Genomic DNA, 14554 nt, shown 5'->3' with positions numbered 1-14554 from the left:
ATTAATTTGGATTTTCCATTTAATTGTTTTCATACTGAACCTATTTCTTGGCCCAATAATTTATTTCATGACTCTTAAAATCACATTAGGATTTGCCGGTCTCAATTAAACTGTTTAGTTCATTATCAAGCATAAATAACTTTCAAATGCCATAAGCTTCTGATTGTCTTTAGTCAAAATGAGATGATAATAATTAGCTTTGGGGAATATTAATATAAGAGTCTAAGACTAAGCAAATCCACATTGTTGGCAGCTAAATTTGCCTCACTTCTATTATGAAAACATTTCAATTTCTCTAAAATCAACCCAATCAAAATTCCAAGGTAACCATCAGGAAGAAGGCAGAAGCATAAATCATCTATTACCATTTACCACTTCCAATTCATGTCTTCACTACTCAAAAAACTGACAGGGTTTAATTTAACCTCTTTCTGATTTATAGCAAATATTGTTGGTTTGAAGCAGAAGCAGTATTTTAGGAGACTCGGTAATGAACAAATCAGTAGATATGGCCTACAGACAGAACAATCTCATATCTCTTTAGTTTTACACTGCTCTTTAGTTTTACACTACAAAAACCTTATGGTAAAAATTAACCTTCTTGGTAGTTCAACAATTCTAATTAGAAGAGACATCAAACAGCTTATGCTTTAGAAAGCAGTACAGGCCATAATAGTCTAGTCTTTGAAACAGAGCTCTGTAACCTCCTTATATATTTCAGCCTGCTGTCTAAAGGAAAAGCAATAACCAGACAATGTTTCAAAGTGGTTCTGGTTTTTGTGGCAAGTTGTGTTATATTTTCTCATCTTATCTTTTTATACTTATTATTAAGAAGCAGACGACCTAATACACAGGACCCATTTACTGCTTTTGGCCCTGAATGTGTAAAACAGTCTATACCATCAGACTTTACAAAAAGTTTCCTTGGTAGAAATATTTACAAATGCTAGAGGACTAGTTCATTTATAATCCTTTTTTTCTTTTCTAAGCATGGGGTAGGAAGGAGGAGAAGAAAGATACCCCACACTCAGCTTACATTAGAACTAACGAAACTTAAAATAAAAGGCCATCCAGGCTAACCCTTTCCCCAAGAAGAAATTCCTTTTACAACATCAGTAGTTACCCAGACATTCCTCAAGTTTTTACTGAGAGTGAGCATCACAGAGTTCATGCTCTTTTTAGACAGTTATAAATTTTATTAAGTTCTTTCTTACTCTGAGTTGAAATCCCATCAGTTCTTATCCTAGTTCTATCCTTTGGAGCAATACAGAACAAGCCTCCCTCACCTTCCATATCTCATTCCTTTTACTATTTGAAGGAAGCTTTTATGTCTCACCTTATTTTTCTCATCTCCATATTAAATATTACACATTCTTTCAATTAATTCTCATATGACATGGTTTCCAGATGCTGCAAATAAATTCGAGTTGCAGTTTGACTTAAAATTTTTCCTAAGTGGTATACAAAAAAAAAAGAGATCTGAAGGTTCATTTATTTCTCATGTATTTGCACCTACAATTGACACAGTTGGAGGGGTTGTCCAGAATCCAGTGGTCCATCCAGCAGCTGTATCTATGGCAGCTCCTCTTCTTCCTGATAACACACACACACACACACACACACACACACACACACACACCAGTCATATAAATGGTTCTGTGATACAAGGTGAGTCAGATAACCTTATCTCTCTCTCTGGACACAATGATTGACTGAAAGAATAGTCACAAGTTCCAAGCTGGGCTAATCAGAGTCATTCCCCAAAATTTCAAACTGGAACTAAGAGAAGGCCTGCTTCCCTCTCGGCTGTGGAGCTATTAGATATGAAGAACATTTGCCCATCTTGTGGAATTGGCCAATTTGATAGAATGAGATCAATATCGAAAGGAGTATGGGAAGAAAGACCCCAAATCTCCAGTTCCAGTCATTCCTGAAACCACCTCTCCCCAACCTTCCGGTGGTGTGACTGGGTTAGCCAATAATTCCCCTCTGGCTGAAATAAATTTGGGTTAGGTTGGTATAACCTGCAACACAGAAGGTCCTATTTAATATAACATCCACAGGGTTCAAACTATTCTAACAAAACTAATGGAATACACGTTATAAAAGAGAAAAATTGCCATTCTATCCTACAAAATGATGCAGATAGAATATCTTTCCATCATTATTTAAGAATGGGAGAGATACTCACTTACCAGAGATGAAGCCTAGGCTACACAGGGCTGCCAATATTCAAAATGCAATTCCCAGAACTATCGTAGTGCCTGGCACATAGTAAGCAGGTGCTTAAGGCACACTCCACTGCACTTTCCATAGTAAACACAAGATATATAGTAAGCAAAACATTGAATATAAATTATGAAAATGGAGACATGAATTCCCTCAAGAAACCTTAGGTATATCATTTCACCTTTTTATGGTTACATTCCCCATGAAAAATGTGGGACTAGATTCTCTCTTCAATCCTTTTTAGCCATAAAATGCTATGATTCTATATATACTCAAGAATGCTAAAAAGGAGTCTTTTAAGGCTCTGGACATGCAGATTAAGGGGCGTACAGTAATAAAGAAGGAAGCATAAAGAGAGTGAGAAAGAATGGCCTGCCAAAAAAATAACTGAGGGGGAAAAGCAACACAAAAATAATGGGAAAAAATCATCAGTGATATGATACAAGAGGTAATTCCGATGTGCCACCATCCTATTCTAACCAGTTTCTGTGGTCAGAAGTTACCTCTGTGCTGGATTCAAACCACCAGCCCGGGGTCCTGCCCCTTCATGACCCACATAATCCATATGATGGCCCCTTGAAGTTTGCCATGTATTTCTTTTCAGAGTTGGCTTCCTGCTTCTGCCTTCAGTCCTAGATGTTCTCACCTCCTCGCTCACCATTCCAGATAGTTTTTGTGTTACCAACGGAATGTATATCCAATTATATTGTGTGCCCCCAACTTTGTTCCCCACCTTGCCCCCTGCAAAGACTGATGTCCAAATGTCCATAATTTTCAACTTATTGTTTAAGTTTGCAACCTAGGATGCTTAATACAAGTAATCATAAAATGGTATCTCTGTAAGGTGACCCATTTATACAGATCTTCTCTAAGAAACGGACCTCATGGTTTTTTAGGAAGAAGGCCTTGAGTGGGGAACCTATCGTTGCAATTAACAACTGATATTGCAGTATTACTATATATCTACATAGTAAGCACGATATGCCAGTATATTATACTACGCATATATACTATGCTAAGCATTTTGCATGCATTGATTCATTTAGTTCTCACAACACCCCTATAATGGCCATACTAATTATTATCTACACTTTAAAAGTGAAGAAACTGAGACTCAGAAAAAGTAACTTACTCCTGGGTACATGGCTAGTAAGTACAAGAGCCATATTTATCTGACTCCAGAATCCTTACTCTTATCCATTATGTGATCCATAAGGGCATTGATCTCTGAGTGAAATTGGGAGGAGGCGCTTTGGGGGGACCAAAAGCAGAAAGACTAGGGAACCAAAATCAACAAGATCTACTTATCAATTTTGCTTAGAGTCAGCCCTATTTGAAGTAGAACCTTGTTCCCATTATGTACCAATAGATTATCTGCCATTTTGCATTGTGAAAAGGTACCCTCCATTATCCAGGCTAATCTAGTTGACTGTAGAATGCTGTACACAGACATTACAATGACAGACAACTAATTCAATCTTCTCTGCTAGAGAGATGCTACTGTTAACATCCTTTCAACTTTTTCCCTATAGCTTTTGATGCAGGGCACTTCACATATGCCACAACTATTCCCTCCTACAGTATCTAGAGCAAGGAAGTAATTGAGAATTACTGGGGAGAGAGAGAGGGTGGGAAGGAAAAGAAAGGATTATAAAATGAGGTAAAAACAAAATACTACCAAAAAAAAATTTTTTTTTTTAGAAAGAAAGGAAACCAGAACAGGGTGACTAATTGCCTGCTAACCTGTGATTCAGGGAGAAGTGAATGTTTATGCTCCATTACTAAACAAAGAAAATAACTTGATCATACACTAGAAATCATATGTTTAAACAGTCACAGTGGAGTTTTCCTGTGTCAACAGAATAGAGATATTAAGTATTTCCTATAGAAGTGAGACCTTACTGCTTGTCACCTATTCAGGGTCTGTAGTAACATTATTCATCACTAAGCAAAAATCTAATTATTTTTAGATTCCACATCCTCCTCTAAGTCCTTTAAAATCTTCATCTATTTACTAAGACTTTTATGAACCTGGGACAAAAATAATGCCAGCCCCTACTGAAGAGTAATCAGACATTTCTATGTGATAATCAATAAGACTCCAGTTTTAGTGAAATGGAAGCTGGGAAGCAGTCTAGCAAACCCTTTGAGGTCAATCAGGAATTAATCTAAACAGGGAGTACAAGGTTGGATGAAATGTAGCAGAAATTGTGTCTCACTGAAGTAATAGTGTTATGTGTTAGGAGGTTTGGAAGTAATACTTAATTGAAAAACTGTTTTAAGCTAAAAGAGAGTGGCAAGATCCAAAGTAATACACTATTAAAAATATTTAAAAGCAAAGGATCCGTAAAATATACTAAGAGAAGAGCCTAATTCCCTCATTCCAAATCCAGTTTCTTATTCTAACTAATGTGCAGGAAACAGGAAAAGGAGCAGGGAGGAAGGAAAGTATCTGAAGAATTGCCAGAGTAAAAAATCTCATAATGAAATTTTGCTCATTCTTGGAGAAATGAAGTAGAATTAGATGCTTCAGTGGTGGTGAATTCCAGAATCTGGGTAGCTTCCAGTAAATGAAGCTTTTCTATAACGTCAAATGCAAAAGCTATCTGGGATATCAACATAATCAGCTTGAGCTTTTAAATTCCTATTTCCTCATACCAAATTGTTTGAAACCTTTAAGATAAAAACTTCAATGAACTAGTGTTCCAAGCTTTTAATATTTTCGTCCTTTAGCAAGCATGTCAGATTAATCTTCAAATTGCAATGGGCAGAAAGGACCTTCAACCAAATTATTAAGCCCATGTCTCTCTCAAAGCATGTTAATAATGTAAGCAGTTTCATTGGCTATTAAGATTTTTAACTTTCTTAATTCTCCACTGTATTACTGTTTTTTAAGGCTGGGAGGCAGGGGATCAAGAATGTCATTCCATCCTGAAAACAAGGGATGTTATGTTATCTTTATACTCACTTAACACCTAGCACACTGTCAGGCACCCTGTAGGCATTTAACATACTTTTGGAATAAGTTGATGTAATGGCCTAGGAAGAGCATGGAAATCTTTCTGAGGACAGGTGAGTCCAAATCCTGGCACTGCTGGGCAACAAAGACCATCTCCAGAATTAGAGTTATCTATCGCGGTAGAACAGGAATTTGCACGTGTGTCTTCAAAGTGGCATCAAGAGGATTGACTGTTTCCTGAGCTGCCATCCAAAAGCCACTTAGGGAGGGATTATACTCGTCTCCAGCTTCACCACGCCTGGAAAACTCGTGCCTTGCCTCTCTACTCCCCCTTCCTTTTCCTGGGTTTGGGTTTACACTCCCAAAACTTAAGTTCACAATTCTACAAGGCTGGTCTAACCCAGACCGCGATCCGCTCCCCATTTCAGGGCGTTTTTCCAGCGTCCACTGGGAGGGAGGCCAGGCCGTGCTAGGCAACAGGCAGGATCCACACGGTGGCTCCGCACATCTTAGAGGGTGAAGGCAGAGGGGTGGCGGGAAGCGGTGGGGGCTGGGGGAAGAACGAGTTCAGGACCTAGGCACTATCCGGAGGTTTCTCATCCCTCCCCAAAGCCACGGCGCCAACCGCTGAAGACGCCAGGAAACCATCGGCAGGGGCAGGGAGCGCGGGGTCGCTCTGGGTCAGGACTGAGGAAGAGGGATGGGGGGTGGGGGGGAAGAACAGAGACCCAGCGGGCGACAGTACCTGGTGTGGCTGTGGTTGCGGGGACAGTCCTTCTTCTCCATGATGGCCGGCACGCAGTTGGTGAGCTCCGTCCAGTCGGCGTGCAGCCCGCAGCTCCAGCCGGTGGAGAAGCGGGAGAAGAGCCACGTCTCCTTCTTGCCAGGCCGGTGGCAGGTGCACTTCTTCTGACCCGCTTTGCAGCTACAAGGCTGCTCCAGCCGGATGTTCTTCACCAGGTGCCGGCCGAAAGTGGTGCCCCCCGTCTTCTGGATGTGGAGGAACACGATCACGTCGCGCCCTTTGATGTTGAAATCCACGAAGCGGGTCAGGTCCTTCAGGCTGAAGTTGAAGCGCGGCACGAATCGGGGCAGGGAGCCGTTTTCCGGGGCCTCGGGGTCCGGCTCGTCTTCCTCCTCCTCTTCCTCCCCCTCCCGGGGGTCTCCGGGCTCCTCGTCCTCCTCCTCCGGCGCCGCGGCCCCCCGAGGTCCCTCGGGGGGCCCCCGGGGCGGCGGGGGCAACTGGGGCCGCCGCTCCCACTCCTCCGGCGGCGCCTGAGCCCGGCGGGCGGGACCCGGGACGGCGGGCGGGCCGGCCTCCCCCGCGCGGGGCTGCTCCCCGAAGTTGGTGCAGGAGCTGGTGCAGGAGGGGGACACGTACTGGTACATGATGACCACGAAGAGGAGAGTGAGCACCGGCGTCAGCAGCCACTTGTTGAACCTTTCATCCATGGTCCCGCTCTCAGGCCGGCAGGCGAAGCGGCGGCGGCGGCGGCGGCAGGGCGGACGGGCGCCCGCTCGGAAGTTTCGCGGACTCCGGGGCGCGGCTCGGAGCCCGCCGTTCCTCCATGCCCCTGACGCCGAGGCGTGTGGCTGGCTGGCGGCCCCGCGGCCCTCGGGGCTTGAGGAGCCGGGGCCTGCGAGCCGGGCGGGGGAGGCGGGCGCCGGCGCGCTCGGCTGCGGCTGCGGCGTGGGGCGCCCTGCGCTCCCGGGTGCGCCCGGGCCGGCCCGCTCCCTGCTCCCGCCCCGGCGCGGCTCTCTCAGGCGACGCGCGGCATCCCGCCGGCGGCTTGCAGGCGCTCAGGCGCTGGGGAGCGGGGTTCGGGTCCTGGACCTGCCGCGCGCAGCCGGGCAGCCGGGTAGCTGCGGCCGCGAGCGCCGGGGCTGCATGAGGCTCGCCAGGGCGCCGGCCAAGGGCGAAGGCGCGGCCCGCTCCCGCCGCCCCGGCCGGCCGCGGGCACCGCGCCCGGCACGCGCGCCCGGCGCCTTTGCCGGCAGGTCGCGGGGCTGTGGAGCCGCGAGGGCTGACGGCGCTCGCCGCAAGTTTGCAGAGCGGCCCCCGCAGCGCAGCGGCAGCGGGCGAGGCGCCTCTGCGGAGACGCCTCTCCCGGCGAGTCGCACTGCCGCTCCGGGCTGTCCGCCCAGGCGCAGGCACGCAGACACACTCGCACACACAGGCTGGCACCGCCACAACCCGCCAGCCGGTGTGACAGGAGCCCTGCTACCCGCAGCAAAAACCTGCCCTAGGTACGGAGCATGCGCCAAAGCCTCCCCCAGCCCCGGAGGAGTTTCCAGGGGAGGAGTCCGCTGCTCCGCGGGGCTCGGAGGAGGCAGCTGGGGGTGGGAATCCCTTCGGCCGGGAGCAAGGAGAGATTTGGCAGAAAGGCAAAGGTGGGGCGAGAGGAGGCCCCGAGGTAAGCGTCGCTGGCGTTGATCTGACACCTTAAAATGGGCAGCTTCTCTGTCTGGTAGTGGCCGGCCTTATTTTCAGGAATAACACCTGCACACTCCCGGGAACACTCACTAGACCAGACTTTACACGGGTTGGCAGTTCCCTTCTCAGCAGGGGAACGTGGCTCCAGACTGCTGTGAATTTCTACCCAAGACATTCTAACTGGTGTTCGAGTTTTATGGTGGTCCTCCCTTAATAACAAACTTGGTGCGTCCAACTATACAACTGTATTCAACCAGCATCAATTAACCATTAAGCGCCTAACTGTGTATCAGGCTCTATGTTCAATACACACTTTCTTTCAGCACTAGACAGTCCAGCCCTCAACCATGCAGTACTTAGAACATAAAAAGGAGTTTAGGGATCACCTCCTAAAAAAATCATTCTACTAATAGACGTTGAACTCCTAAATGTTCAAGATTTATTCCTTCCCAACAATGGTGGAAGATAACACTTAAGCTTGCCTATATTTCATAAGCCCTAATTTGTATGCAGATGTTTTTTGGAAACTTTATTTTTCAAACATCTAGATGTTGCATTTAGTATTACCCCAGAACTAAATCTTTGCTCAATAACAACTTCTGTTTTTCAGATAGTGAAAAGATATACGATCAAATTGTTGTAACTGCCCTACCACAGTCCCTAGACCTGCTCGACCTATTTTCCGAGTGGAGAGTGGCAATGTGTTAAAGGCAATGTGTGAGGACAATGCAGTGTGATTCCCTGGCCCAGACCAATGTGTCCCTCCCAGCTACACTACCGTATTCCACAGGTGTGCTATAATATTTCATAGCAGCCCACCGTCCCATCTGGCCTTTTTATGAATCCATGCACTTGTTTCTTCCTGAGACACTCTGTCGATGTCATCTATTTATCAGGGTGTCCCCTCTGCAGCCATCAGTGAAGATCCAGGGCTCTTTCAGGGATGCTAAAGTTTGCCCATAGGATACTATTTTCCTTGTTTAGACAGGTGGAATTCTTCTCAATAAAACTTCCCTCCTCTATTTCCTTTCCCGTTTTCAACTCTTTAAACAACTCCAACCCTTGCCTTTCCTAATATGTAGGAGGCTATATCAGTAGAAAAGGTGTTGGGTGAGATGAATCAGCTTCTTTAAAGCTTATTTGATTCTATTTCTTTTTCTCTCACTTAAGTTTGAAATCCTATTAATGGCATCACACCCCACTCCACAGCAAGAAACTGTGATAAAACAAAAGCCCAACAATTATTTTCTGAATGTGTCTGCTTAATATACACATACCTCTGCTTTAGTTAAGTAAAACATCATTATACCTTTTTATATCACCTTATTGAAGAAGCTTCTCATTTCCTATAAAATTGCTTGATATCACATGGATAAACATCACCTTATTAGCTACCAAAATGGATAACCAGAATGCTAGTGGTAGTTTGTATAGTGGAAAGCACTCTCCTAGCCATTATTTCATTTGCTTCTCAGAACAACACTCTAAGGAGATAAGAGAAGTATAATATCCCATTTCAGAGATGAGGAAACTGAAGCAAGGAAAGTTAGGTGAAAGCAAAGCCAAATTAGAAACTGCTAACATCCCGAAAATACAGTCACTGAAGAAGTTCAACAAACATCAACAACAGAGCCCATAATTTCCTCTCTCCCCTCTTGAGACCATTTGAGTCAAGAGGCAAGAAGAGACAACAGAATTGCAATAGAATAATTAAATTATGTTATCTCTCCTCCTGACTTTATAGGCAAAGCTGAGCAATTCTACATCCTGCAGTATTTTGTCACTTAGTCTATTAGTTTCAAGAAAGAGGGAAAAATAACAATAACAATCATAAAATGATTATATAATTGTTAAATCACTTAGGAGAATTGTAAAAATAAAATGTACGACAAACATGTAGCAGCTACATTGCTAACAAAACGTGTATTTCCATAAATAAGTGTACCTTTAACACTTTTCAAAGAACATTATCTCCGAAAATCTCGTTTTATTTTCAGTAAAATAGCTACTGAAGTGACTCCATTTCCTTGAGGTAACCACAAGGAAAACAATGCATAGAATCAAGGCAATTACACAGACAATTCAGGCATTTACTCAAAAATTCATTTTTTAATAATAGGTAACTTTGGTCGTGTAAATACAGTCTGTCCCAGGTGTGGTCTCCCTATTACAGTTGTGGAACTTGGTGTGAACCTAATCAAAGCTCTTAAATCACACAATAAACAGCCTTCCTTATCTACAAGGGCAGACCTCACATTCAGGCAAAAATGAATAGAAACTTTCTAAAATTGAACGCTCTCCAGGTAAAAAGGCAAAACATACTTGCATTCAGTCTACTATAGTTACTCCACGATGACACCAGCTGGCAATTGTTTCTCCCTAACATATAGCAGCTACTATGATTCCCACACAAATTATTAAAATAATAAAAATAATGTTTTCAAAGAGCTTTCTTCCACTTCCTTTGCCGGTCTAGCAATGAGCTTAACACTATCTGTGAAGCAATTTGTTCACCTAATTTTATGCCTTAATAAGCTTTACTACAATTATTTTCTTGCCTGATTCGTTCTCTGCCTTGACTTTAGTATACTTCCTCCCTGTTCTTCTGCAATATTCTCAAACCTGTTAACAACATCGCACTCCCCCAGGATTCAAACTTTTGATTAGAACAGTCCCCATTTAATCAAGTTCAATTGGGAAATAAAATTGCATCTCAACTTCTCCATTTTCCCTTTGGTGCCAGAAACTGCCTTGAGAATGTTGAAGAAACCCTGGAGAGATTAACAATCCAAATGATCACAGAGGATAGTTTTGGATCCCCTACATTTGCACAGAGGAAGAGAGATTTGAATGCCCCTCAATAGAGATGAAAATAAAACAGATAATGTAAGTCATTGGCAGCATGACTCTCTCCTACAAGAATGGAAAGTGCTCTTATATACTGAAATGACTTTTGTTTTTCAGTTTTGTAAACAATCTTTCTCCCCACAAAAGCCCCTGGGGTAAGCAGTTTTGCAAATAACCAGCAAAGTGACAGCTTTCTTTTTCCTCAGGAAGTTAAGCAGACAGAGCCCACATAGTTAGAACCAATGGCAGAAAGAATTGGGATATATACTGATTGTGATATATTCCGGTTCACTATATGATTGTAACTTTGGGGCAACCATGACCCTACATACCACTTTCCATAAAGTTCTATTTATCTGAACAGTTCATTCTTTGCCTTACTGTGTAACATCCACCATAGATAGCTGCCTATGAGAATGAATGGAAACCATCTGTATGTATAATGTATTCATTAACTCAGTATAGTGTAAGTAGATGCACTAATCTTTTCCCAATAGATATTCTTTTATTTCTTTGATAAGGACTTGTTAAGCATTTGCTATGTACTGTGTACTCTTCTGAATGCTTTAGATATGCTATTAAACAAGAATAAGGATCCTGTCGTCATGTAGCTTATAGTCTAACAGTGGAAAAATAAATTATAAAGAAGTAAACAAGATTCATTCATTTGATCCAAAGATATATATTGAGCCCCTGCTGTATGCCATGTAGTTTTACGTATTTGGTATGCACTGATGAACAATAAAGACAATAATTTTTACCCTCAAAAATTTAAATTCCGGCAGGGTAAAACAGTAGGGAAGAAGTCAGAGAGACAATGGGAGGAAGGTTATGTCAGGCCTTGTGGGCCATTGTGAGAATTTGACTCTGAGAAATGAGGAGCCACTGCAGAACAGTTTTAAAGGGATCCTTTCGAGTGTTTTATTGTCAACTGTAAAAGGAAAAACACAGAAGCAGGAAAACTGGTTAAGTGGCTATTCCAGTAATCATGTGAGATTGATGGTGGCCCAGACCAAGACAGGGTGGTTACAGAGGTGGTTGGAAGAGATCAGATTGCCTGCATTTTCAAGACAGAGCCATCAGAGAGAGTTTCCATACAGATTGAATGTGGGATAAAAGAGGAAGGGAGGAGTCAAAGATGATGCCAAAGTTTGGGGCCTAAACAACTGAAAGGATGGAGTTGTCATCAAAAGGGATGTCAACTGAGATCATTACAAGTGCTAAGAGGGGACATAGCAGGGTGATATGACAAAGAATTCATGGCAGGGTTGAGGGTATGGGGCAGGCCTTTCCACTGGAGAGTCAGAAAAGACTGTTGTTACATAGAGGCAAAGGGGCTAAGTCCTGAAGGATTAGAATGGTCTAGCCGTGCCAGACATCCTGGAGAAGAGCTTTCTAAGCAGAACAATAAGCACAAAGGTCTGGAGCAGAAAAGAATTTAGGGGGCTCCAGACAGACAAATGATAGAGAAATGAAAGAGAGGGAGGTTTGGGGTCAGAGCCATGATAGTGGGTGCAAAGTAGTCATTGAGGAAATGACAGGACTGATTGATACTAAAAGCTTACTGGGATCCATGAAGAATGGATTAGGAAAGACAAAAGAGAAAGCAGAGAAATCAGTTAGGAAGTGGCTGTTGTTCTCCAGGCAAGAGATGGTGGGGACTTGGGATAGGCTGGCAATGGTGGGGAAAATAATTTACAGACACAAGTCCACGGGCCTAGTATGGAAAGATTTCACTTCTTCATTTTCAAATAACAAAATGAGACTTTGCCTTTAAGATTCTATTGCCTGATACAGAGGGAAATGAGAAGCATTCAACTTACGTTAATTCAGTCACTTCTGAGTTAACCTCTGTATCTTTGGAATAAATAGTCAAATTCATGTTTCTCCCCTCCCCTTCTTCTTTGCTTTTTCCTGCAGTGAGCTAAGCCCTTTCGTACTGGCTAAGGGAATTGTGGTCTGCAGGGGAGTTTCCTTTTCCTGCTGCTCCCCCTCACCCCCTCCATGTGCAGTTATTCCTACCTGATCGCAGGTGCAAGCCTGGATTTCTGCTGGGTCTTCTGCTGCCTTGTTAGAATCTAAGCTGTCATGTCCACATGCTCTACATCTTCCTCCACTGAACTGCGAGCCCACTTCTGTCTGCCACCTCAGCTCTTCTGTGGCCCTTTCTCAAGGGCCTGTTAGCATGGAAACCAGTGATGTTTAACCCCATCAGATGGAGCACTCATTTTTATTAAACAAATGTTTTGAAGTAATCCCTTTAATGATCTCAAGTTAAGCATCATAGATAATAGAATCTACCTACACACAATTTCTCAGAAATTAACATAATGCTCTAATTGTAATGTAAATGAAACATGAAAAGAAAGTAATTAATAAAACACTGTGTATTGCAACGTGTAAATGCTGAGACCTGACTACTGTAGACAACATAAAGAAGTTCGCAGATGCTTATGACTTTTAACTATCTCAAGTTTGGACATAGAGAAGTAAGAGCACAAGACATTCTTTTCAAGAAGCAAATAAAAGAGCAAGGCGCCTGTAGTCCCAGCTACTCAGGAGGCTGAGGCAGGAGAATGGCGTGAACCCCCGGGGGCGGAGCCTGCAGTGAGCCGAGATCGCGCCACTGCACTCCAACCTGGGCGACAGCGAGACTCCGTCTCAAAAAAAAAAAAAAAAAAATTGCAGAGGTGTTTGTGGACACCAGAATTAAAATTAGTGATAGGCTAAGTAAGAATAATTCTGACTTAAAAATTGACATATAAGAAAAAGGAGAGAAAAACCTTGGTTGAAGCAATCACACACCCAGACAAATTATAGACTTTTAGAGTGAAGAAATTGGGGAAGTATAATGTTCCCCAATTAACTAGGCTTTTAAAAAAATGTCTGGTCAAAATACTTCTCTATAACATAAAATATCTCGGTGGAACCCCGTCTCTACTAAATATACAAAAAATTAGCCGCGCGTGGTGGCGGGCGCCTGTATTCCCAGCTACTTGGGAGGCTGAGGCAGGAGAATGGCGTGTACCCAGGGGGCGGAGCTTGCAGTGAGCCTAGATCGTGCCACTGCACTCCAGCCTGGGCAACACAGCAAGACTCCGTCTCAAAAAAATAAAAATAAAAATAAAATAAATAAAATAAAATATCTCAAAAAACATAACTTGTATCTTGAAATCCTACTATACATCAAAGGATAATCCAGTTTCTGAATGTAGGGCGATATTTGCAAGTCACGTGAATGCAAGACAATTCTATCATTGCCCCCACCAAATAAATGCCAGTAATAAATAAATCATCGTGAGGTGCTGACCAAACACCAAACTGCAGACTATAAACTCTTTCCTAGCCATTAATTCCACTCCTAACGAGTATCTAGAAATCCCCCTATCTTTCCTCTGTCAAAAAAAAAAAAGCCAGTTTAGAAGACATAAAAAGACTAGGAACACACGTTTCCTCACTGTCCTTATACTTTGGCTCTTGATAGTAAAGGCACATTTTAGAATTTTTAAATGATGCCATTTTTTTCCCTTTGAAAAGTCTGATTTTGAAACCATTTGAAATCAAGGTAACATAGTAAGTGATAGTACTCAGATTTGAACCAGGTAGTCTGATTCCAGAGGTGGAAAGAAGTGATGGCAAGATGGATGTTAGAAGTCAAATCAACAGGATTTACTGAAAGATTGAATAAGAGGAAGTGAACAATGGATGAATCAAAGATGTTTCTCGGGGTGTCTCTTGAGCTCCTGGAAGCCTGATAGTTCCATTTACTAAAAAGAAGAAAATGAGAGAGAAAAAGTTAGGAGGTGTTGAGGGTGGGGAGCAGCGAGGGCGAATTTTGAGTTCTGCTTTAGGTGAGCTAGGTTTAGACTGCTAATGAGACAGCTAAATGGAGATATCAAATAAATAGCTGGATATAGGATCTAGAGTTCATGCAGTAATTCTAGACAGGAGATTAAAATGTGGTGGTTTTAATAACATAGGTAACATAATAGCAGTGAGTGCTCAATAAATATTTGTTGACAGAATCTGTAAAAGACTAAATAAGCAATTACCATGGTCCAAGAGAGAAATGAGACCTCAAACAA

General features: G+C 43.1%; 1 protein-coding gene across 1 annotated transcript in view, besides 2 other annotated features; it reads right to left on the bottom strand.

Moving 5' to 3' along the window:
• Positions 1 to 7396, bottom strand: part of HS6ST3 (heparan sulfate 6-O-sulfotransferase 3) — a 749456-nt gene extending 742060 nt beyond the window's left edge. The window contains exon 1 of the mRNA NM_153456.4: positions 5934 to 7396. Within this exon, the coding sequence (NP_703157.2) occupies positions 5934 to 6640 (707 nt within the window). The 5' untranslated portion in view covers positions 6641 to 7396. The remainder of the gene's footprint in view (positions 1 to 5933) is intronic.
• Positions 7072 to 7572: an enhancer, noted in NCBI's record as "H3K4me1 hESC enhancer chr13:96742185-96742685 (GRCh37/hg19 assembly coordinates)". NCBI's record gives its function as "activates a minimal SCP1, AML or CMV promoter by ChIP-STARR-seq in naive H9 embryonic stem cells {active_cell/tissue: H9 hESC(naive)}" and the evidence as "EXISTENCE:reporter gene assay evidence [ECO:0000049][PMID:30033119]".
• Positions 7573 to 8073: an enhancer, noted in NCBI's record as "H3K4me1 hESC enhancer chr13:96741684-96742184 (GRCh37/hg19 assembly coordinates)". NCBI's record gives its function as "activates a minimal SCP1, AML or CMV promoter by ChIP-STARR-seq in naive H9 embryonic stem cells {active_cell/tissue: H9 hESC(naive)}" and the evidence as "EXISTENCE:reporter gene assay evidence [ECO:0000049][PMID:30033119]".

The sequence above is a fragment of the Homo sapiens genome, chromosome 13, assembly GCF_000001405.40.
Source record: "Homo sapiens chromosome 13, GRCh38.p14 Primary Assembly".
In the NCBI taxonomy this organism is placed as follows: Eukaryota; Metazoa; Chordata; class Mammalia; order Primates; family Hominidae; genus Homo; species Homo sapiens.
This window is presented reverse-complemented; position numbering and strand designations above follow the sequence as displayed.